Genomic DNA, 16,285 nt, shown 5'->3' with positions numbered 1-16,285 from the left:
GCCGGCCCGGCAAAAACCTGCAGCATGAGCTGAATGGCCCCGCACAGAGAGAGGGATGGGTGCACGCAGGTACAGGCTGCCTAAAAACCCTGACAAGAAAAGGGAAGGTGAGACGCTGCCGCGCAGGAGCCAGGGCCCGTGCTCTGGAGCTGCAATTCCAGGTACACTGGGCAAGGCAACCGCCTCGCCAGAACCACAGCCTTCCCAGCTGCCACGGTGCTGCCTGGGCTCTTGCGCTCTAACAAAGGGGCCCCGGGAACAGACGCGGTAAACCAGCCTCAGTGGAGGAAGCCACACATGGCAGCTACACAGCACGCCTGTGCCGCAGGCAACTCACCTGGTCCCCAGCCCTCACCAGGTCAGCAGACACAGAACCAGGCTCACCAGAGTTGGGCCGTGGGGTGACACGGTTCACGGGGCACGTGTTCTGATGGACCCTAAGGAAAATCAGCATGAGACCGGCTTTTCCGTGCACGCCATCAACAAGCCTTGATTCTCACTCCACAAAGATCTGCATGAGGCTCAGGACAGAACACACTACGCGATGCTGCTGGCACGTGCTGCTTCATCTCGGGCTCGGGTGCCGGGAGATGCTGCGGCCTACAGAGCCACTCAGATGCTGCCAACACCACCCAGGTCACCAGCTGAAGCGGCACATGCCAGCAGCATCTCGTGGTGCCGAGGTTCTTCTCGCCACGCCTTCTGGGTGAATGCAAGCTGAAATGCATCGTGGGACAGGCCGTTTGGGGAAAAATGAAGTGGGAATCATCCGTCTCACTCTATACACAAAAATAAAGTCCTGATGGATTAAATACATTAAAAAGGCACTACTACAAAACCACTGCAGAGGACACAAAGGGGCCACAAAAGACACAGAAAACACCGAATTTGCTACAGAGAAACTTTAAACCTCCGCAGAGAAAAAAATAACATGAACAAATTCAAAAGAACTACCAACGAGGGGGAGACAGCTGCAGTTAACAAGAGATTGCTTCCTTCCTACATAGCTTTTTCAAACCAATCAACAGCCGAAAAGAAAAACAGGAAAAGGCACATATAGGCAGCTCACAGCGATGAAGGCTGAATGTAGCCTTGCTGATGAAAAGCCGCGCATTTTACAAAGCAGGCACCGCAGGCTGGCGTCCGCATCAGCAGACACCTCGTCCATATCCTCCAAAGGTACAGGCCGCAGGCGGAGGCCGACTTGGGTGCTGCTCCCGGCGGTGTCTGCAGTAGGCAACCTGGTAACGCCTGTGAAGTATCAGACGTTCATCAGACTGGATCAGCAACTCCACTGCTGTGGTTTGATCTACAAATGTCTTTACTCCGTTTTCAAGGATGGCCCACACTCCCTATAGAGCTGGGTGCATCGGACAACAAAACTTCAGCAGCCGTGATGTAAGGCTGCCTTAGAACGCAGCCCAGGGAAGCAGCAGGGGCAGACACACACTTGTAAAGAAAAGAGGGGGCCGGGAGCAGCAGCACGTGCCTGTGGTCCCAGCTGCTCAGGAGGCCAAAGTGGGAGGGAAGATTGCGTGAGCCCAGGAGGTCGAAGCTGCAGTGAGGCCAGATTGTACCACTGCACTCCAGCCTGGGTGACAGAGCAAGACACTGACTCACAAAAAAAAAGAAAGGAGCAGACAGACCAAGTCTGCAGTGGGGAGGCTGTCACTTAACGGTAGTTGGCATTGAGTTTTTCATGGTATCTATCATGTGCCACTTTGCACAACTTCACGTAGAGGCAGTGCTGCAGGAATAAGCTGGAGAAAGCACAGCTTTCCCTCGGAGCGCTGGTGGGCGAGCATGTGAGGGGGTGGTGCACGTGCCCAGCACCGCGGCAGCGGGGAGAAGCGGCAGGAGCACAGGGGACTAGGAGTGGGGAAGCGGGAGGGCCCCTGTCTCTCTCTGTTTTCCAAGCTTTCTTACTTCTTTTTTTTTTTTTTTGAGACAAAGTCCCACTCTGTCGCCCAGGCTGGAGCGCAGTGGCACGATCTTGCAATCTCTGCCTTCTGGGTTCAAGCCATTCTCCTGCCTCAGCCTCCGGAGCAGCTGGAATTACAGGCACACACCACCACACCCAGCTAATTTTTGTATTTTTAGTAGAGACGGGGTCTTTCATGATGTTGGCCAGCCTGGTCTCAAACTCCTGACCTCAAGTGATCCACCTGCCTCTGCCTCCCAAAGTGCTGGGACTGCAGGTGTGAGCCACCGTCCCCGGCCTCTTCCTTCTTTATACTACATGTTTGTCATTAGGTGTCCATTTTAAAGAAAAACCCAAAGACCTTTTTAAAAATTGGTAACAAATTGTCCTGGTCAAAGACAGTGTCCTGGAACAAAACTGGAACAAACCAGGCACCGCCATCCAGGGTCCGCATCGGCAGACACCCCCCGCCGAGGTTTGTGGCGAGGAAAGTACCAGCAGCACCGCAGAGAAGAGCAGTCACAGCCAAGAGCGCCTGGGGGGTGGCACTACCCAGGGACACTGAGACGCAGAGCACCAAGGTGACGCTACTGTGCTGAGGAGCCCAGGCTGCAGGGCCGGAGGACGTTTCCACCACTGGGCCCTGTGCCCACCTCCGCAGTCCTGAGGAAAGGCAAACGGCTCACCTCGACTCCCTTCTCCCAGGACCTGAGGGTGGACATTCAAAACCACAGACAAACCTGCCGACGGCCGGAGCTCCCAAAGTGCTGCATCGGGCAGCCCCCACCCTCCAGCCAACACCATCCACCCCAGCCAGGGGTTCGACATTCCTCCCGAGAGAAGGTGGCCTGGGAGACGGGGCCCCTGAGAGAAGGGTACCCAGGAGCACTGGAGACAGCCTGTGCACGGCACCCACACAACGCTCGGCCCCTCTGCTCCCCTCAGCAACCCACCGGCCAGAAGACGCAGAGTCCACGGGATCTGGCCTTGCAAGTGTCATGGAGCTGATACAAACAAGAAACGTGGACTCCAAACCCCACAGGATTCTCTCCACAGACACAGCAGCAGGCTCCTGGCACACTCCACACCCACCCCCAGTGTTAGCTCACCCCACAAGGACCCTCCAGAACCCCAAGGGCAGTGCAGCCAATGGTGGATGTAGCATGTGCCCCGGGAGCAGCGTGGCTTCTTGCTGTCCTGTGAGCTCCCAGCCAGGGTAACAAGGCAAGAGAAACACGTCAAAGGCCTAAGAATGGAGAAGCAAGAGACAGAACCACCGCCGTCCCCATACATGGCATGGTCATGATGCAGAAAATGCCAAAGGATCAACAGCTACTGGGACTGAGGGCTTCAGCAAGGCCTTGGGGTGCGGCCGAGGTTTGCAGCGAGGAAAGTACCAGCAGCACCGCAGGGAAGAGCAGTCATGGCCAAGAGCTCCCCGGGGGGTGGCACGACCCAGGGACGCTGAATGCAGAGCGCCAAGGTCACGCTACTGCACTGAGGAACCCAGGCTGCGGGGCCAGAGGGCACTCCTGGCCTCCTGAGCCACACCTGGCCTGTGTCCTCAGCATCTGCCCAAACTACCCCATCCCACCTGGAAAGGAAGAAGCCCCAGAGAACTGCTTCAGTCCTAAGTCAACACAGGACAGGCTCCCGAGGCCCGGATGCAGGGCCCCACCGCCGGGGATGGTGCAGGACAGGCTCCCGAGGCCCGGATGCAGGGCCCCACCGCCGGGGATGGTGCAGGACAGGCTCCCGAGGCCCGGACGCAGGGCCCCACCGCCGGGGATGGTGCCCGAGGGAGTGGCTGTGCTGCTCACCTAGAGGCGTCCTGCTCTGGGAGGTACAGCCACTCGCAGCTCTTGGTGGGTTCAGCTAGTCTGGGGGCCCCACCTAGGGAACCTCGCAAGACAGCCTCCACGACCTGCCTACACCTCAGACAAGCACACATCAGAAAACCACAGTGCCCAGGGCCCCTGAACATGACAGGCCGGCCACGCGCCCACAGAGGAAGGGATAGCCCTGTAGCCGGGGGGCACTCGCTGCCACCTCCCATGAGGAGTAGTGTCTGAGGAGTGAATGAGGAGAGCCTGCTGCACAGGCTCGGCCTGGGCCTTGCCAGGCGGGGTCTGGAAAACACACCAGGTGGGATGCCAAGGGGGAGGCTGCCAGAGGCAGGGCCCTGGGGACCTCCTAGTCTCAGGATGGCACCTGCAAGTCAGAATGAGTGCCACACCCAGAATACAGTGGCACCTGGGGCCCCAGCCCTTCCCTGCTCACCCCTAAGTTTCCATTTGAAAACACTCAGCTGCCCTCCCACCCCAGCTGTCGATGAGGACAGTGACGTGCAGATGGCCTCAGCAGGATGCTGCCAGCCAGGCCCCACCAACCGAACATGTCAAGAACCTTAAATAGCTCCAGCCACCGAGCTCCAAGTGCCAGGTTCAGAAATAGCAACCCACATGCTCAGACACTGCCCCGCCGTCTCCTAGGCAGGGGGGCGCCCGGAGCACATGACACGGACACCCACATAGCAGCACCCCAAACGAGGGAGGGTCCCGTGGGGCCACACAACCCCAACTGTCCACCCAGCCAAAAGACCTCTGCTGGGCGTGGGGCCACATAACCCCAACTGTCCACTCGGCCAAAAGACCTCTGCTGGGCACAGCATCCCCCATGGGAGGGCGGTCCTGAAGCAGCTGGGGCCAGACCTGCAGGGGAGAAGGAGGGCCCTGGGGCCAACCTTCTGGTGATGGAAGGCGGCCCCGGGAATCCCCAGGCCAGGCCCAAGGTGATCAGGCCACACACTCTGATGTGAAAGTTCCAGAAACAACTTAAACATCAGCCCTGACAGCAGACAGCTCTGATGAGGAGGAGTCACTCCCTGAGTGGCCAGGGAAGCTGCCGATTGCTGTCTGGCAAATAGAAAAAGGCAGTGGCTGAGCTTCCCGGGGGCGAGCAGCGCAAGCCCAAGACAGCGGCCCAGGGACCTCGGCAAGCCGGTGAGATCCAGACTTGCACGGCCCACAAAGGCCTGAGTGAACCTGAGTGAACAGGAGCCAGGCCATGAGACACAGGCACAGAAGAGGCTGGCCAAGCCCAGAGGAATCTTCTCCTGTGTGTTCTGCTGCTGCTGTGTGTTTAAACCATTTTTAAGGCCTTTAAATCAAACCGGCGACTTTAATCCGATGAAGGCTTAGCCTGCTGCACTGTGCCCACGACACGTGTACCCAGTCGCCGCCACGTGCTCCAGGACAGGGACCAGGTGGAGTCACCGTGATCCTCAGGCACAGGTGCAGCCCACACCCGCCTGGGCCAGTCTCTGTGCTCAAAGTTCTATGAGGATAAACCCACACACGACGGGCGAACCCTGCTCGGACAAAGAGCAGCAAGGGCTCCTGAAGACACTGCTAGCTAAGGGCCTTTCCTGAGATGCCCCGCCCCGGTTAGTGATTGGCACGTGCAGCAGGCCTGGGCGAGAACACCTGTAGGCGAGAGATGGTGCCCACACAGTGCCCTCGGGCAGTGAGAGATGGTGCCCACACAGCGCGCTCGGGCGGCTCCGGGGGCAGGGCCTGGCTTTTATCTCCCAATGTTGCGTATTTGTCTATTCTGCAATGTGTGCATACGCGCTGCTTTCTCAATCATGAAATGTTATTTTCTACAGAAGTAATTTTAGGTAAAAGTTGATCCCTAACCTTCAAGTCTCAGCCACAGGCATGACAGTGAGTGAGGCACGGTGGGCAAAGACGCGGCCGTTCGCCCCGTGCGCTGAGGACTCAGCCCCTGGATCCAGATGGTAGAGCTGGGACTTGAACAGGACCGGCAAGGGCCACATCCACAGCCTGTCCCCCTGCTTCCTCCCAGGCTGTGCAGCAAGCCAGGGCCATCCATGCCCACTTTCCCTGCCTCTCTCCTACCTCCCTGCGCGATGCTGCAAGATGTTGGTCCCTTGGATGGCTGTGGGCTTCAGCGCCACCAGGAGATGGGAGCCTCCTCTGCGCCCAGTATGGCAGCAGCCACGGTTTCATCTCAACCTGAGTGAACAGGAGCCAGGCCATGAGACACAGGCACAGAAGAGGCTGGCCAAGCCCAGAGGAATCTTCTCCTGTGTGTTCTGCTGCTGCTGTGTGTTTAAACCATTTTTAAGGCCTTTAAATCAAACCGGCGACTTTAATCCGATGAAGGCTTAGCCTGCTGCACTGTGCCCACGACACGTGTACCCAGTCGCCGCCACGTGCTCCAGGACAGGGACCAGGTGGAGTCACCGTGATCCTCAGGCACAGGTGCAGCCCACACCCGCCTGGGCCAGTCTCTGTGCTCAAAGTTCTATGAGGATAAACCCACAGCAGTTCTACAGCAGCCCCCCGACACCCCCCTTTCGCAGATGAAGGAGCTGATCGCAGAAACCCTGAGGACGCCGGCAAGGAGGTGCAGGAGGCTAGAACCCCAGAGGCCCTGGCTGGCTCCTGACTCCCACTAAGATGGGAGGAAACAGCACTATGTCTGGTCCAAGTCAAATGCCTCAGCATGGCACCATGTGACTGCGTGACCATGGGCCTGAGAAGCGCCACCAACAGGGCCACGCTCCCAGCCGGACTGGCATAGGCCACACCTCCGACCCCTGGTCTAGCGTCTCAACAACATGTGGCTCACAAGGATGCCTGGCTTAAGAAACAAGTCATTGGGCTCCCAACATACCGGCTGGCACGGCCACACTCTCTGCAGGAGCGCAGGTAAGAAGGCGCACCACTCCCAGCCGCCGCACCACGCAGCCAAGGCAGGTGACGCACAGGGAGCTGCGGCCAAGCCGAGGCCATCTGACCCCAAGCCTCGCTTCCACAGAGCCATCTCCATGTAACCTCCCCGTCAGTTTGTTCTTATTTTAACTTGGGAGTAGATATAAGCAACAAGTACATTCTGCATGGTTTCCTGTCATACCCTTGACTTCACAACTGTAAAAAAAGGTCTTAAAAAAGGGATTTTTTTTTTTTGAGATACTGGAAAATAGCAGAAAATGAGCTCATTCTGTTTTCAGGCAGGCACCTGGGACTCAAGCCCAGAGACACAGGCAGGGTGGGGCAAGGCTCATTTTCTGCCATTTTCCAGTTATCTTAAAAAAAAAAAAAATCCCTGAAGACAACCCTGTAACCCCAGAGTCTGTACTGTCTGATGAGGAGCTGGGACTTCCCAAGTCTCCGCTGTGCAAGGCAGGAGGGAGAGCCTGCGTCTCTATCCCGGGACTGTCCCACACCTGGGCTGACCTGACAAGGACACAGCTCTGCTGCCCTCTGCTGGCCAGATCACCAGGGCAGAGGGACGGCCAGGAAGCCAAGGTCGCGCCCTCCACCGCAGGTCCCTCCACCGCAGGTGCCTGGGGGTGGAGTGGGGTCTAAGCAGGTACAATCACCTGGGCAGCGCTCTGTGCTGACCGGGAGAGCCAGCCCTGCCCAAGGGCTGGGTGCAGGAGCTTGGGATGTCCTTGCACCACAGCCTGGTGGCCTCGTCACCCAGTCCAACACGCCTGCAGACGCAGACGTGTTCCACTGACAGCAGCAGCAGGTCGTACACAGCCGGAAGGCGCAGGCAGAAGCGGCAGGAGTGGCTGCCGGAGCAGCAATGGCGGCGGTGGGTGCCCTGTGCCCGGCGTCTAAGAGTAGGCCTCTGTGGCTTCAGAGCCTGGCTCCATGGTGCGCTCTGGCCTGCTGCTGCTGCACAGAGGGTTCTGGGGGGTAGGCGGAGCTGGGGCCGCGCTTTGGGGACCCGGACAGCAGTGTGGTCCCTGTGTCCACCCGGCCGAGGGTGCTGGGTTCCTCTGGAGGAGGCTATGGTGCAGGGCCGCCTGGGCTGCATCCCTAGGATCCACCCCACATCGGTGTGACTGCCAGGCCCGACACTCCTGACAGCCGGGCCCAGGGCCCAGGGCCCACAATCCACTCCCTGATCAGGAGCAGCCCCCGGGCAAGGCCACAAACCGTGCGAGGGGGAGCCAGGGCTGCATGCTCCACAGAGCCAGCAGGAGCGGGAGCAAGCAGCAGCCAAGTCGGGGCTCGGGACCCTGGCCTCTCTGCACTCTTACCCTTGCAGACTCAGAGATGCCTGCTCCTGCTGCCTGGCCTCTCCCTGCTTCCAACGCCCACTCCAATCTCAAAGGGGGGTTGGGGCTGAGCCCAGGTGCTGTCAGAGCCCGGCCGGGTGTGCACACACTCAGGCCCTGCCACCTTGGCCCCCTCTGGACCTTGGGCATCAACAAGCTCTGGGAGGAAGCCAAGGCGGGGGCTGAGGGTGGCTTGGCGCTGGCCTGCAATGGCCGGACCCCACACTTGCTCACACACACACTTCACCGCTCCACGCCTGACTCCAGTCTCCCTTGGAGGCATGAGATCCAGGCCAGTAGCATGAGCTGAGCTCAGCCTGCCAGGCCAAGTAGGTGAAATGAGCCCAGTGGGCCTGGACAAAACTCAAGCAAAGGTGCCACCGGCCACAGGTATCTGGCCAGAAAAGCAACACCCCCAAAATCCTGTACCACCACCGGCGCCTCTCATGCCCCCACCGCCCCCAAGCCGTCCACCATGCTGTGAGCTCCCTCTCCAGCAATGGTGACAGGCCTCCCAACATCCTCTGCTCCAGGGGCCCCCAGCCCCACCCGGCTCTGAGTCCATACCAGGCCTTGCCCCACCCTGCCTGTGTCTCTGAGCTTGAGTCCCAAGTGCCTGTCTGAAAACAGGTGGGCTCGTTTTCTGGTATGAAGGAACACAGAACTAGAAATCCAATTCTAAGCGTGCTCCATGACCAGCTCCCCAGACGCCCGGTGCTCCACGACCAGCTCCCCGGACCGCCCGATGCTGCATGACCAGCTCCCCGGACGCCCGATGCTCCACGACCAGCTCCCCGGACGCCCGATGCTCCACGACCAGCTCCCCGGACCGCCCGATGCTCCACGACCAGCTCCCCGGACCGCCCGATGCTTCACGACCAGCTCCCCGGACCGCCCGATGCTCCACGACCAGATTCCCGGACCGCCCGATGCTCCACGACCACCTCCCCGGATGCCCGATCGCCCGATGCTGCATGACCAGCTCCCCGGATGTCCGATGCCAAGGATTGGAGCCGTGCCCAAGGCTGGAGGATCAGCCACCACTGGACACCCGGCCGGCTGCCAGGCTCTGGTATTGCACAAGCCAGCTAGAGCTGGCCACACAGCACGCACAGCAGGTGGCACTGCGTTGGGGGAGGCTCAGGAGACGGGTGCTCACCCCGGCTCTGCCACAGGTCCCTCGCCACCCCCAGAGCGGACATGGAGGAGCTGTAGCCCCGACATGGGGTCCACAGGCTGCCGCAAAGCCCCTGCATGCACAACCCGGCCCACAGGCAAAGCTGAGTCCTGCTGGGGAGGTGCAGGGGGTCTTAGAGAGCTGGGGCGGGGAGGGGACTCTAGGCCAGCCTCAGCCCTGCACCCATGCCCTCCTCCTCCCGTAGCAGGAGGCTGCAGAGCTCAGAGGGTCCCTCCCAGGATGCCCGTAAGGGTAAGGCAGGCTCCAGGGCACAGGAAGGGAACAGGGGGTCAGATGTGGCTTCCTGGCGAGCTGGGATCCGAAGGGCTTGAAAAAAAACATAGGAACGATGCCATGAACTTGTCAGTCACAGGATAGGAACGATGCCATGAACTTGTCAGTCACAGGATAGGAACGATGCCACGAACTTGTCAGTCACAGGGACTAACAAGCCCCACCACTTCCCAGGGCTAGAGTGGGGGAGGAGGGGTGCAGATGGGCACACGGGTGTCCACCAGGTGATGGGCCACAGCCTAGACCCCTCCCCTGGGCCACCCAGCTCCTTGGCCAGAGACGCAGCATGCAGTGCTATTCCTGACTCAGGCAGGGCACGGACGATGAGACACATCTTGGGAAGGCGGTGTTGCACTAAGCCAGGCAGACAGGCACCCACAGGCCGCCACCTCACCTCCATAGCCAGGCGGGTCATTGAAGGGTGGCGGCCAAGTCACAGGATGCAGTATCTGCATGACATGGGCACTCAGGCCCCAGCACAAACCCGGGGTGGGGTGGGGGTAGGGACGCAGGGCACCAGCCAATCAGGAGCTGAGGAGACCACACCAAAAAAACAGAACTGTTCCTGGAGAGAGGGAGGAACATGGTGAGGAGCAGCCAAGATGCAAAGGACCCCACTGAGGCGCCTGGATACCTCGGAGGCCTGAAGAAAAGGGGCTGGGGCCCCCAGACCAGGGCAAGCCCCTCCGCCTGTGGGGCTACTCCTCTAAGGGTCTGCAGGTCCCACCCATGAGGGTCTGTGGGCCCTGCCACCCTGCCAAGCTGGTGCTTCACATCCCAGGGCAGGGGAAGTGGAGGCCTGTCCCTCCGTCTGAGCCCTCTGTGAGGTCCCATGGTCCCCTTCATCCAGCCCGGGGCTCTTCAGTGCAGAAAACCCACAGCAGGGCGGTGGAAGGAATATGCACCAGAACCCTGGGCTGAGAGCCACAGCCAGAGACGGCTGGCCAGAGGCCTCGCTCCAGGAGGGCTGTAATGGGGGCCCGCGGCGATGAGCTCAGAACGCCCCTCCCACAGGACAGCCTCCTGGAACACACCTCAGGGACAACCTCCAAGGCACCATTTTGGAGCACCTTCTCCTGAATCCCCCTGGGGCACCAAGGCAGAAATCACAGCCATGGGCAGTGCACAAAGCCACCGGCTCCTGGCCAGAAGCACTAAGTGCCTCCCCAGGCCAAGGCTCCTCCCCAACACCCAAAACCCTGACCCTGCCGCACGGCTCAAATAATTCCCATCCTCGTGCCCCTCAAGGCGGGCTATGGGAAACACCTGCACACAAGCAGGAAGCGCCAGAACGGGCCACGCTACTGTCAGCACGAGCTCAGGGCTGGGGAGCGCCAGAACGGGCCACGCTACAGTCCCGTCAGCACAAGCTTTAAGATTTTTATGCACAAATAAGGGTATGTGAATTAAGAAAAAAATTAATTACCCAACAGACTCACAAACAATAGAATCTTCAAATTTTTTCAACTTATTGTTCAATTATTTCAAGAAAACACTTCTATGCTCTACTCTGATAACATGGTTCTGAAATTTGAAATCAATCTTTGACATTGTAAAGTTCAAGCTTCTACCCTCTCCCACCAGTTACTCTAAATTAATGAGGTTTGAGCTTACGAAAAACAAAGACCAGGCCGGGCGTGGTGGCTCACACCTGTAATCCCAGCACTTTGAGAGGCCAAGACAGGCAGATCTCTGAGGTCAAGAGATCGAGACCATCCCGGCCAACGGGGTGAAACCCCATCTCTACTAAAAATACAAAAATTAGCCGGGCGTGGTGGCGTTAGCTGGGCGTGGTGGCATGTGCCTGTTGTCCCGTCCCCGCTACTCAGGAGGCTGAGGCAGGGGAATCACTTGAACCCAGGAGGCGGAGGTTGCAGTGAGCCAAGATCAAGCCACTGCACTCCACCCTGGCGACAGAGCAAGACTCTGTCTCCAAACAAACAAACAAACAAAAAACAAACAAACAAAAACAAAGATCCAGCATGGCTCAAAGGAGAGGCCACAGGGCTGCTGGGCACGACCTCAGCCCAAGAACGCTGCGAGGCCAGATGTTGCTAAAGAGGAGTTTCCCTGGTAGGCAAGACGGGTCGTGAGCGTGACGTCTCCCTAAATTAGGAGGGGAAGAGGGGACGTGACAGTCAGTGCAGCAGGTGACCTTGGGGACCAGATGAGCCACAGGGGCTTGAAGGGAGAGGGCCAAGAAAAGGCAGAGGAAAGAGGCTGCTGTGTGAAAGAGCTCTGAGAAGCTCAGGCCAGAGCCAGGTCACTGAGACCCACGACTCCCATCCCCTTGGGGACAGCCTTAAGGGCCTTGTCAGCAACCAGGGACACAGCTCGGGCGGACCACCCACATCAAGCGTTCCTGGCTGGAAGGCACAGCTTCTCTCTGGAGTTACCTGGCCTGGTCACCTCACCAGGTCCTCCTTGGAGAGAAGGAGCAGGAAACCTGCACTGGTTAAATGTACCTGGATCTTTCTAGAGGCACAGTGAGGCCCTTAGCATCTATGAGCTATGTCTGTCGCCGCTTTGTGGACAATGGAGCTAAGGGTCACAGAGCACCCGTGATCACATGACTTGTGCCCAAGGAATTAGGGCTGGCCCACCTCTGGGCAGCTGCAAAACCCACTCGTCCCCAGCCTTCCCACCAGACCAGCCTCGTTCAACAGATGCAGAGCGGGCGCCTCCACAGCCTTCACTGCACTGTTTTAAACGTTTCACACCAACTACCTCATCTCAAACTCAAAACTGCCAGAACTTAGGAGATAAATACTGTTACCTCCTTTGACAGATGCAAAGCCCAGGCCCAGAGCGATCAAGTGTCCAGCCAGAGGCTACCAGGCGGTGAGGGGCAGAGGCCCAGAGCCCACGATCTTAACGGGCCATCTACAGGCCCCAGACCCGGCTCCTGCCCTGTCCTGGCGCTCCCAGCTCTGCCGACTGTGAAGCCACATGCAGTCTTCACTGTCACACTGGTGCCCTGAGCTCTGCCCCCACAGCCAGGCCCTCTCCCTCCCCAACCTATGACTTCCCAAGGCTGTCAAGATGTAAAAAGTATTCCTTGTGCTCCTCACCGACTCCCTTAGATGAGTGAAGGAAGCTTTTTCCTGGATTTATCCCTGGGAAGTGACACTGCTCACCATCCTCCAGCCAGAAAGTCAACACTCCCAGCATTGACCATGGTGGCCGGGAACTCTCTAAAACACCTCAGACTCAGTAGGAGGTGCAGGGGGACGGCGTTCCCTGCTAAGCTCCGGACACTGGAGTGAGTGGGAGTTCCCAGACCCTCTCACTGGCCAGGCTGACGTGTGTGCTGCAGGGCTGCAAGGAGCACAACCAGGAGACGGGAAGGGCTGCGCATGGATCTGATGAAACTGAGAGGACCCTGCTTCGGCTTCAGGATCTAAACCCTCAAGAGTTATTTGTACAAAATGATAAGCAGCTAACCTCTGCAACACATAAAGCACTTGTTTAAGAAAAGGATCAAAACTGCCCCAAACATACAGACAGACCGAAAGAATCAGCACACACGGAGAAAACAGTTCAAACCCTGTTGGTCACCAAAGCCCAAGTTCCTGTGGCTTCAGCGTGGCTGCCAGGACGCAGAGCAGTTCTTGCAGAGCTGCGGAGACATGATGCAGCCCAGGGGCAAAACCACAGCTGTAATCTACTCTGGGGAATCGCCCCAAGAAACAGCCAGGGGCATCCCTTGCTCAAGGACATTGTCAGGTACAGGTTAGCTGGAAAGCTGCTGAGACCTCGGGTGCCTGAGGGAACAATCCCAGACCTGCTGGGTATCAGCATGGTAACCCGTCGAGCCTGCCTCACCTCTCCTGATGGAAGGGACGCTCCGTGCACTCGAGCCTGCCTCACCTCTCCTGACGGAAGTGACACTCCTCACGTCCAGCTCCAGCTTCTGCACCAAGGCGCTGGGGTCTATCTTGGTCCTGGCAAAGATGTTGGTGTTGATGAACGCCCAGTCCTAATGTCCCCAACAAAAACGGACGAAAAGAAGAGGTGTGAGACTTGCTCTGTGGTTTCAGAGGGACGTTAAAGGTGAGGAGAAGATGCAAGACAAGAACCTGGATTCCCCAGCTTCTCTGCCCGGGAGGACCTGGGGGAAACAACCCTCACCTCCCAGAGCAGAAGCCTCCGGTTCCAGAGCTCCAGGGCAGACCCGCAGCGCCCAGGCCCACCTGCTCCCTGCCTTCAATCACCAGACGGGCTTCACTCCTGGTTCTTCAGGAGTCAGGACCAGTATCTCAAGAACCAAATTTCCTTCCCAACCATTTCGTCTTACTCTTTCTACAACATTCTCCTGTGTCACAGAAGAAACCTGCAGCTGAGCAGATGAAGGATAGGCAGCTCCCAGCCTGACAGCTCTTTCAGCTCAGACTGACCACATCCCATCAGAACTAGTCATCTCAGCAGCCTCTCTGCCAGGTCTGGTTCTGAGCCACACTCATCCCTGCATGAAGATTTCAGTTCCTCCAAGTCAGCTGCCGACCAAACCGTGAGGAGACAGAACCCCCCCGTCCCTGACCCCCGTGCTGCCCAGCCCATTCATGTGCAAGCCTCACTGACCTTGGCAGGGAAGGCAGCATCGACCTCAACAGAGGTTTCTGAAGGGGGTCAGAATACGCCACCCCAAAACATGTCACTAATTATTTTGAGCTAAAGGCACTTAAAAATATAGCAGGTACCAAGAGGGCATATTAACCCCCTCCCTGTTTTTCCTGAAAGGAGATAAAACCCCCATATGGAAGATGCCCTCCTACACCAGAAGGTAAGTGACATTCTTATCATCAGGGATGGATCAGAGGAGCCAAGAGCACTCTGTACAGACACACCTGGTGAACACAACCCCTCCCCTCCTGCAGCCTCCCCATGTGGTTTAGTTTTCCACAACCACCTCCGTTCAACCTCTCACCCTCTCAAAGAAGCACAAAGTTCTCCCACTTCCTTGTCTTCATTTCCTTATAAGGCTCCCATGTCACATAAAACTTCAATGAATGGGTACGCTTTTCTCCTGTTAATCTGTTTTATGTAATTCTAAATCTCAGGCCCAACCTAAAAACCTTGAAGGTAGAGGTAAAACATGGCCTCCTTCACATTACAGAGGAGACAGGATGCAGATGAGGTAGAAGGCAGCCAGGGCACCAAGAGGTGCCAGGCTGGACTGCAACTCCCCAGGTGCTCTCACCCACAGCACCTGAGGGAGAAGTCCTTGGTCTCCCTCACCCACAGCACCTGAGGGAGAAGTCCTTGGTCTTGGAGGGTTACGTGGCAGAGACAGAAAAGTCGGTACATGGGAAAATATCAGACTCACGGGGGAACAGTGCTGGAGACCAGGGCAGCCTTCAGATGGGCAGGCAGGTGGCTGAGGCAGCACAGGTAGGCTGAGGCCTCACAGGCAAACAGGGACCAGGTGGGGACAAGGGGTGCAGCATGCAGCCTTCCAGATCATGAATGTATGTTGGTATACGGCAGACGACTGCTTTTCCCACTGTACCTGGGACATTCTCCATGGTAGCACTTTATATCTCATTAATGCATATTTTTGGAGCTTAATAAAAAAATGCTGGCACAGGTTTCAATGAGCCAAGACAACTAAAGGCACGCCCCTCTCCTGCTAGTAGAGAGAGATGTCACCTGAGAAGCTGAAGCTGCTCCTGCCCCATCTCTGGTGTCCTGACACGGAGCTCTTGCCCAGGAGCGGTAGGCTGCAAAAAGGAAGAACTCCATAGCTCTGCCAGAAGGGACTCGCCTTGTCTGCAGCTCGTGTGAGGGCTCTCACGCCTAAGGGTGTTGCTGACCAGGAAGGAGCTCTGGGTGGTGACAGATGCAGAGGGCAGGGTGCCCAAGGCTCCTGGGTAGACAGTAAGCCCCTCTGACCCAGGAACAACTCCCAGGAGGTCGCATCCCTGGCAGTCTGGAGGCTGTGCGCATGTTCAAGGACGCACCCTACCAGGAGTGAGCAGAGGGACTCTGTAAGCTACTAGTCCTTGGCTGTGCCTCTGAGGGCAGAAATGAAGGTCAAAAATGTGAACACGCTGAATCTGACAGCCACCTCCAAGCCAGAGGTATCCAGTGGTAAAAGGCAAAAACCCCCTGGCCAAGGAGGCTTTAAGAACAATTGCTGACCAGTGAGGAGCTTAAGCAGATCCAACTAGCCAGGCTAAAAGAGAAAAACAGGAAGAAAAAAAAAAAACCAAGGGGGCACATCAGAGGCTGCACACAGCCAGAAGGGGACAAGGAGAGAGGTCACATAGTTCAGTTCCAGATCAATAAACAAAGTAATCAAGCAGATACTAATCCCTGGTTGCTACAGGACTATCCAAAATGCCCAATTTTCCACAAAAAGTGATACATTCAAAGAAGGCCCACCTGCTCCTACCTGCCAGCATGAGCCAGGCAACAGAAACTGCTTTGAGCAGCCCACATGTAAAGAATTCAGAGTAGGCATTATAAATATTTCTAAGGACTAAAAGAGACCGTGTCTAAAGAACTAAACGAAGGTATAATGACATTCTCACATCAAACAGAAAACATCAGTAAAGAGTATTTTTTAAAATGAGGAGGAACAGGAGAAGAGAAAGAAAGTAAATAAATTCTGGAGTCAAAAAAAATGAAAATTTCACTGGAAAGGTTCAAAAGCACCTCTGGGCTGGCAGAACATCAGTAAACTTGAATTAAGATAGATTATGCCATCTGAAGAAAAGAGAAAAACTGAGTGAACAGCGCCTCAGAGCACTGTGGGACACCATTAAGCACGACGTACATATTTATAATGGAAGTA

At 57.2% G+C, this 16,285-nt stretch overlaps 1 protein-coding gene across 8 annotated transcripts in view, besides 4 other annotated features; it reads right to left on the bottom strand.

Moving 5' to 3' along the window:
• SLX9 (SLX9 ribosome biogenesis factor) overlaps positions 1-16,285 on the bottom strand; it is a 37,277-nt gene that overhangs the window by 19,822 nt on the left and 1,170 nt on the right. For 4 of the 8 annotated variants that reach the window (NM_001316988.2, NM_001316984.2, NM_001316985.2 and 1 more), the window contains exon 2: positions 13,360-13,468. Coding sequence is in view for 6 of the 8 variants with exons in the window: in NM_001316984.2 (NP_001303913.1) it covers positions 13,360-13,468 (109 nt within the window). In the remaining 2 variants the exon portion in view is untranslated. Of the gene's footprint in view, positions 1-13,314; positions 13,469-16,285 lie in introns of all 8 variants that reach the window. The other 4 variants (NM_058190.4, NM_001316983.2, NM_001316986.2 and 1 more) reach the window with 1 other exon arrangement.
• Positions 4,131-5,081: an enhancer, noted in NCBI's record as "H3K4me1 hESC enhancer chr21:46371986-46372936 (GRCh37/hg19 assembly coordinates)". NCBI's record gives its function as "activates a minimal SCP1, AML or CMV promoter by ChIP-STARR-seq in naive and primed H9 embryonic stem cells {active_cell/tissue: H9 hESC(naive and primed)}" and the evidence as "EXISTENCE:reporter gene assay evidence [ECO:0000049][PMID:30033119]".
• Positions 6,573-7,158: an enhancer, noted in NCBI's record as "H3K4me1 hESC enhancer chr21:46369909-46370494 (GRCh37/hg19 assembly coordinates)". NCBI's record gives its function as "activates a minimal SCP1, AML or CMV promoter by ChIP-STARR-seq in naive H9 embryonic stem cells {active_cell/tissue: H9 hESC(naive)}" and the evidence as "EXISTENCE:reporter gene assay evidence [ECO:0000049][PMID:30033119]".
• Positions 7,159-7,744: an enhancer, noted in NCBI's record as "H3K27ac-H3K4me1 hESC enhancer chr21:46369323-46369908 (GRCh37/hg19 assembly coordinates)". NCBI's record gives its function as "activates a minimal SCP1, AML or CMV promoter by ChIP-STARR-seq in primed H9 embryonic stem cells {active_cell/tissue: H9 hESC(primed)}" and the evidence as "EXISTENCE:reporter gene assay evidence [ECO:0000049][PMID:30033119]".
• Positions 7,469-7,618: an enhancer, noted in NCBI's record as "active region_18585". NCBI's record gives its function as "activates an Ori minimal core promoter by ATAC-STARR-seq in GM12878 lymphoblastoid cells {active_cell/tissue: GM12878}" and the evidence as "EXISTENCE:reporter gene assay evidence [ECO:0000049][PMID:35858748]".

Source organism: Homo sapiens, chromosome 21 (assembly GCF_000001405.40).
Source record: "Homo sapiens chromosome 21, GRCh38.p14 Primary Assembly".
NCBI classification, from domain to species: Eukaryota; Metazoa; Chordata; class Mammalia; order Primates; family Hominidae; genus Homo; species Homo sapiens.
This window is presented reverse-complemented; position numbering and strand designations above follow the sequence as displayed.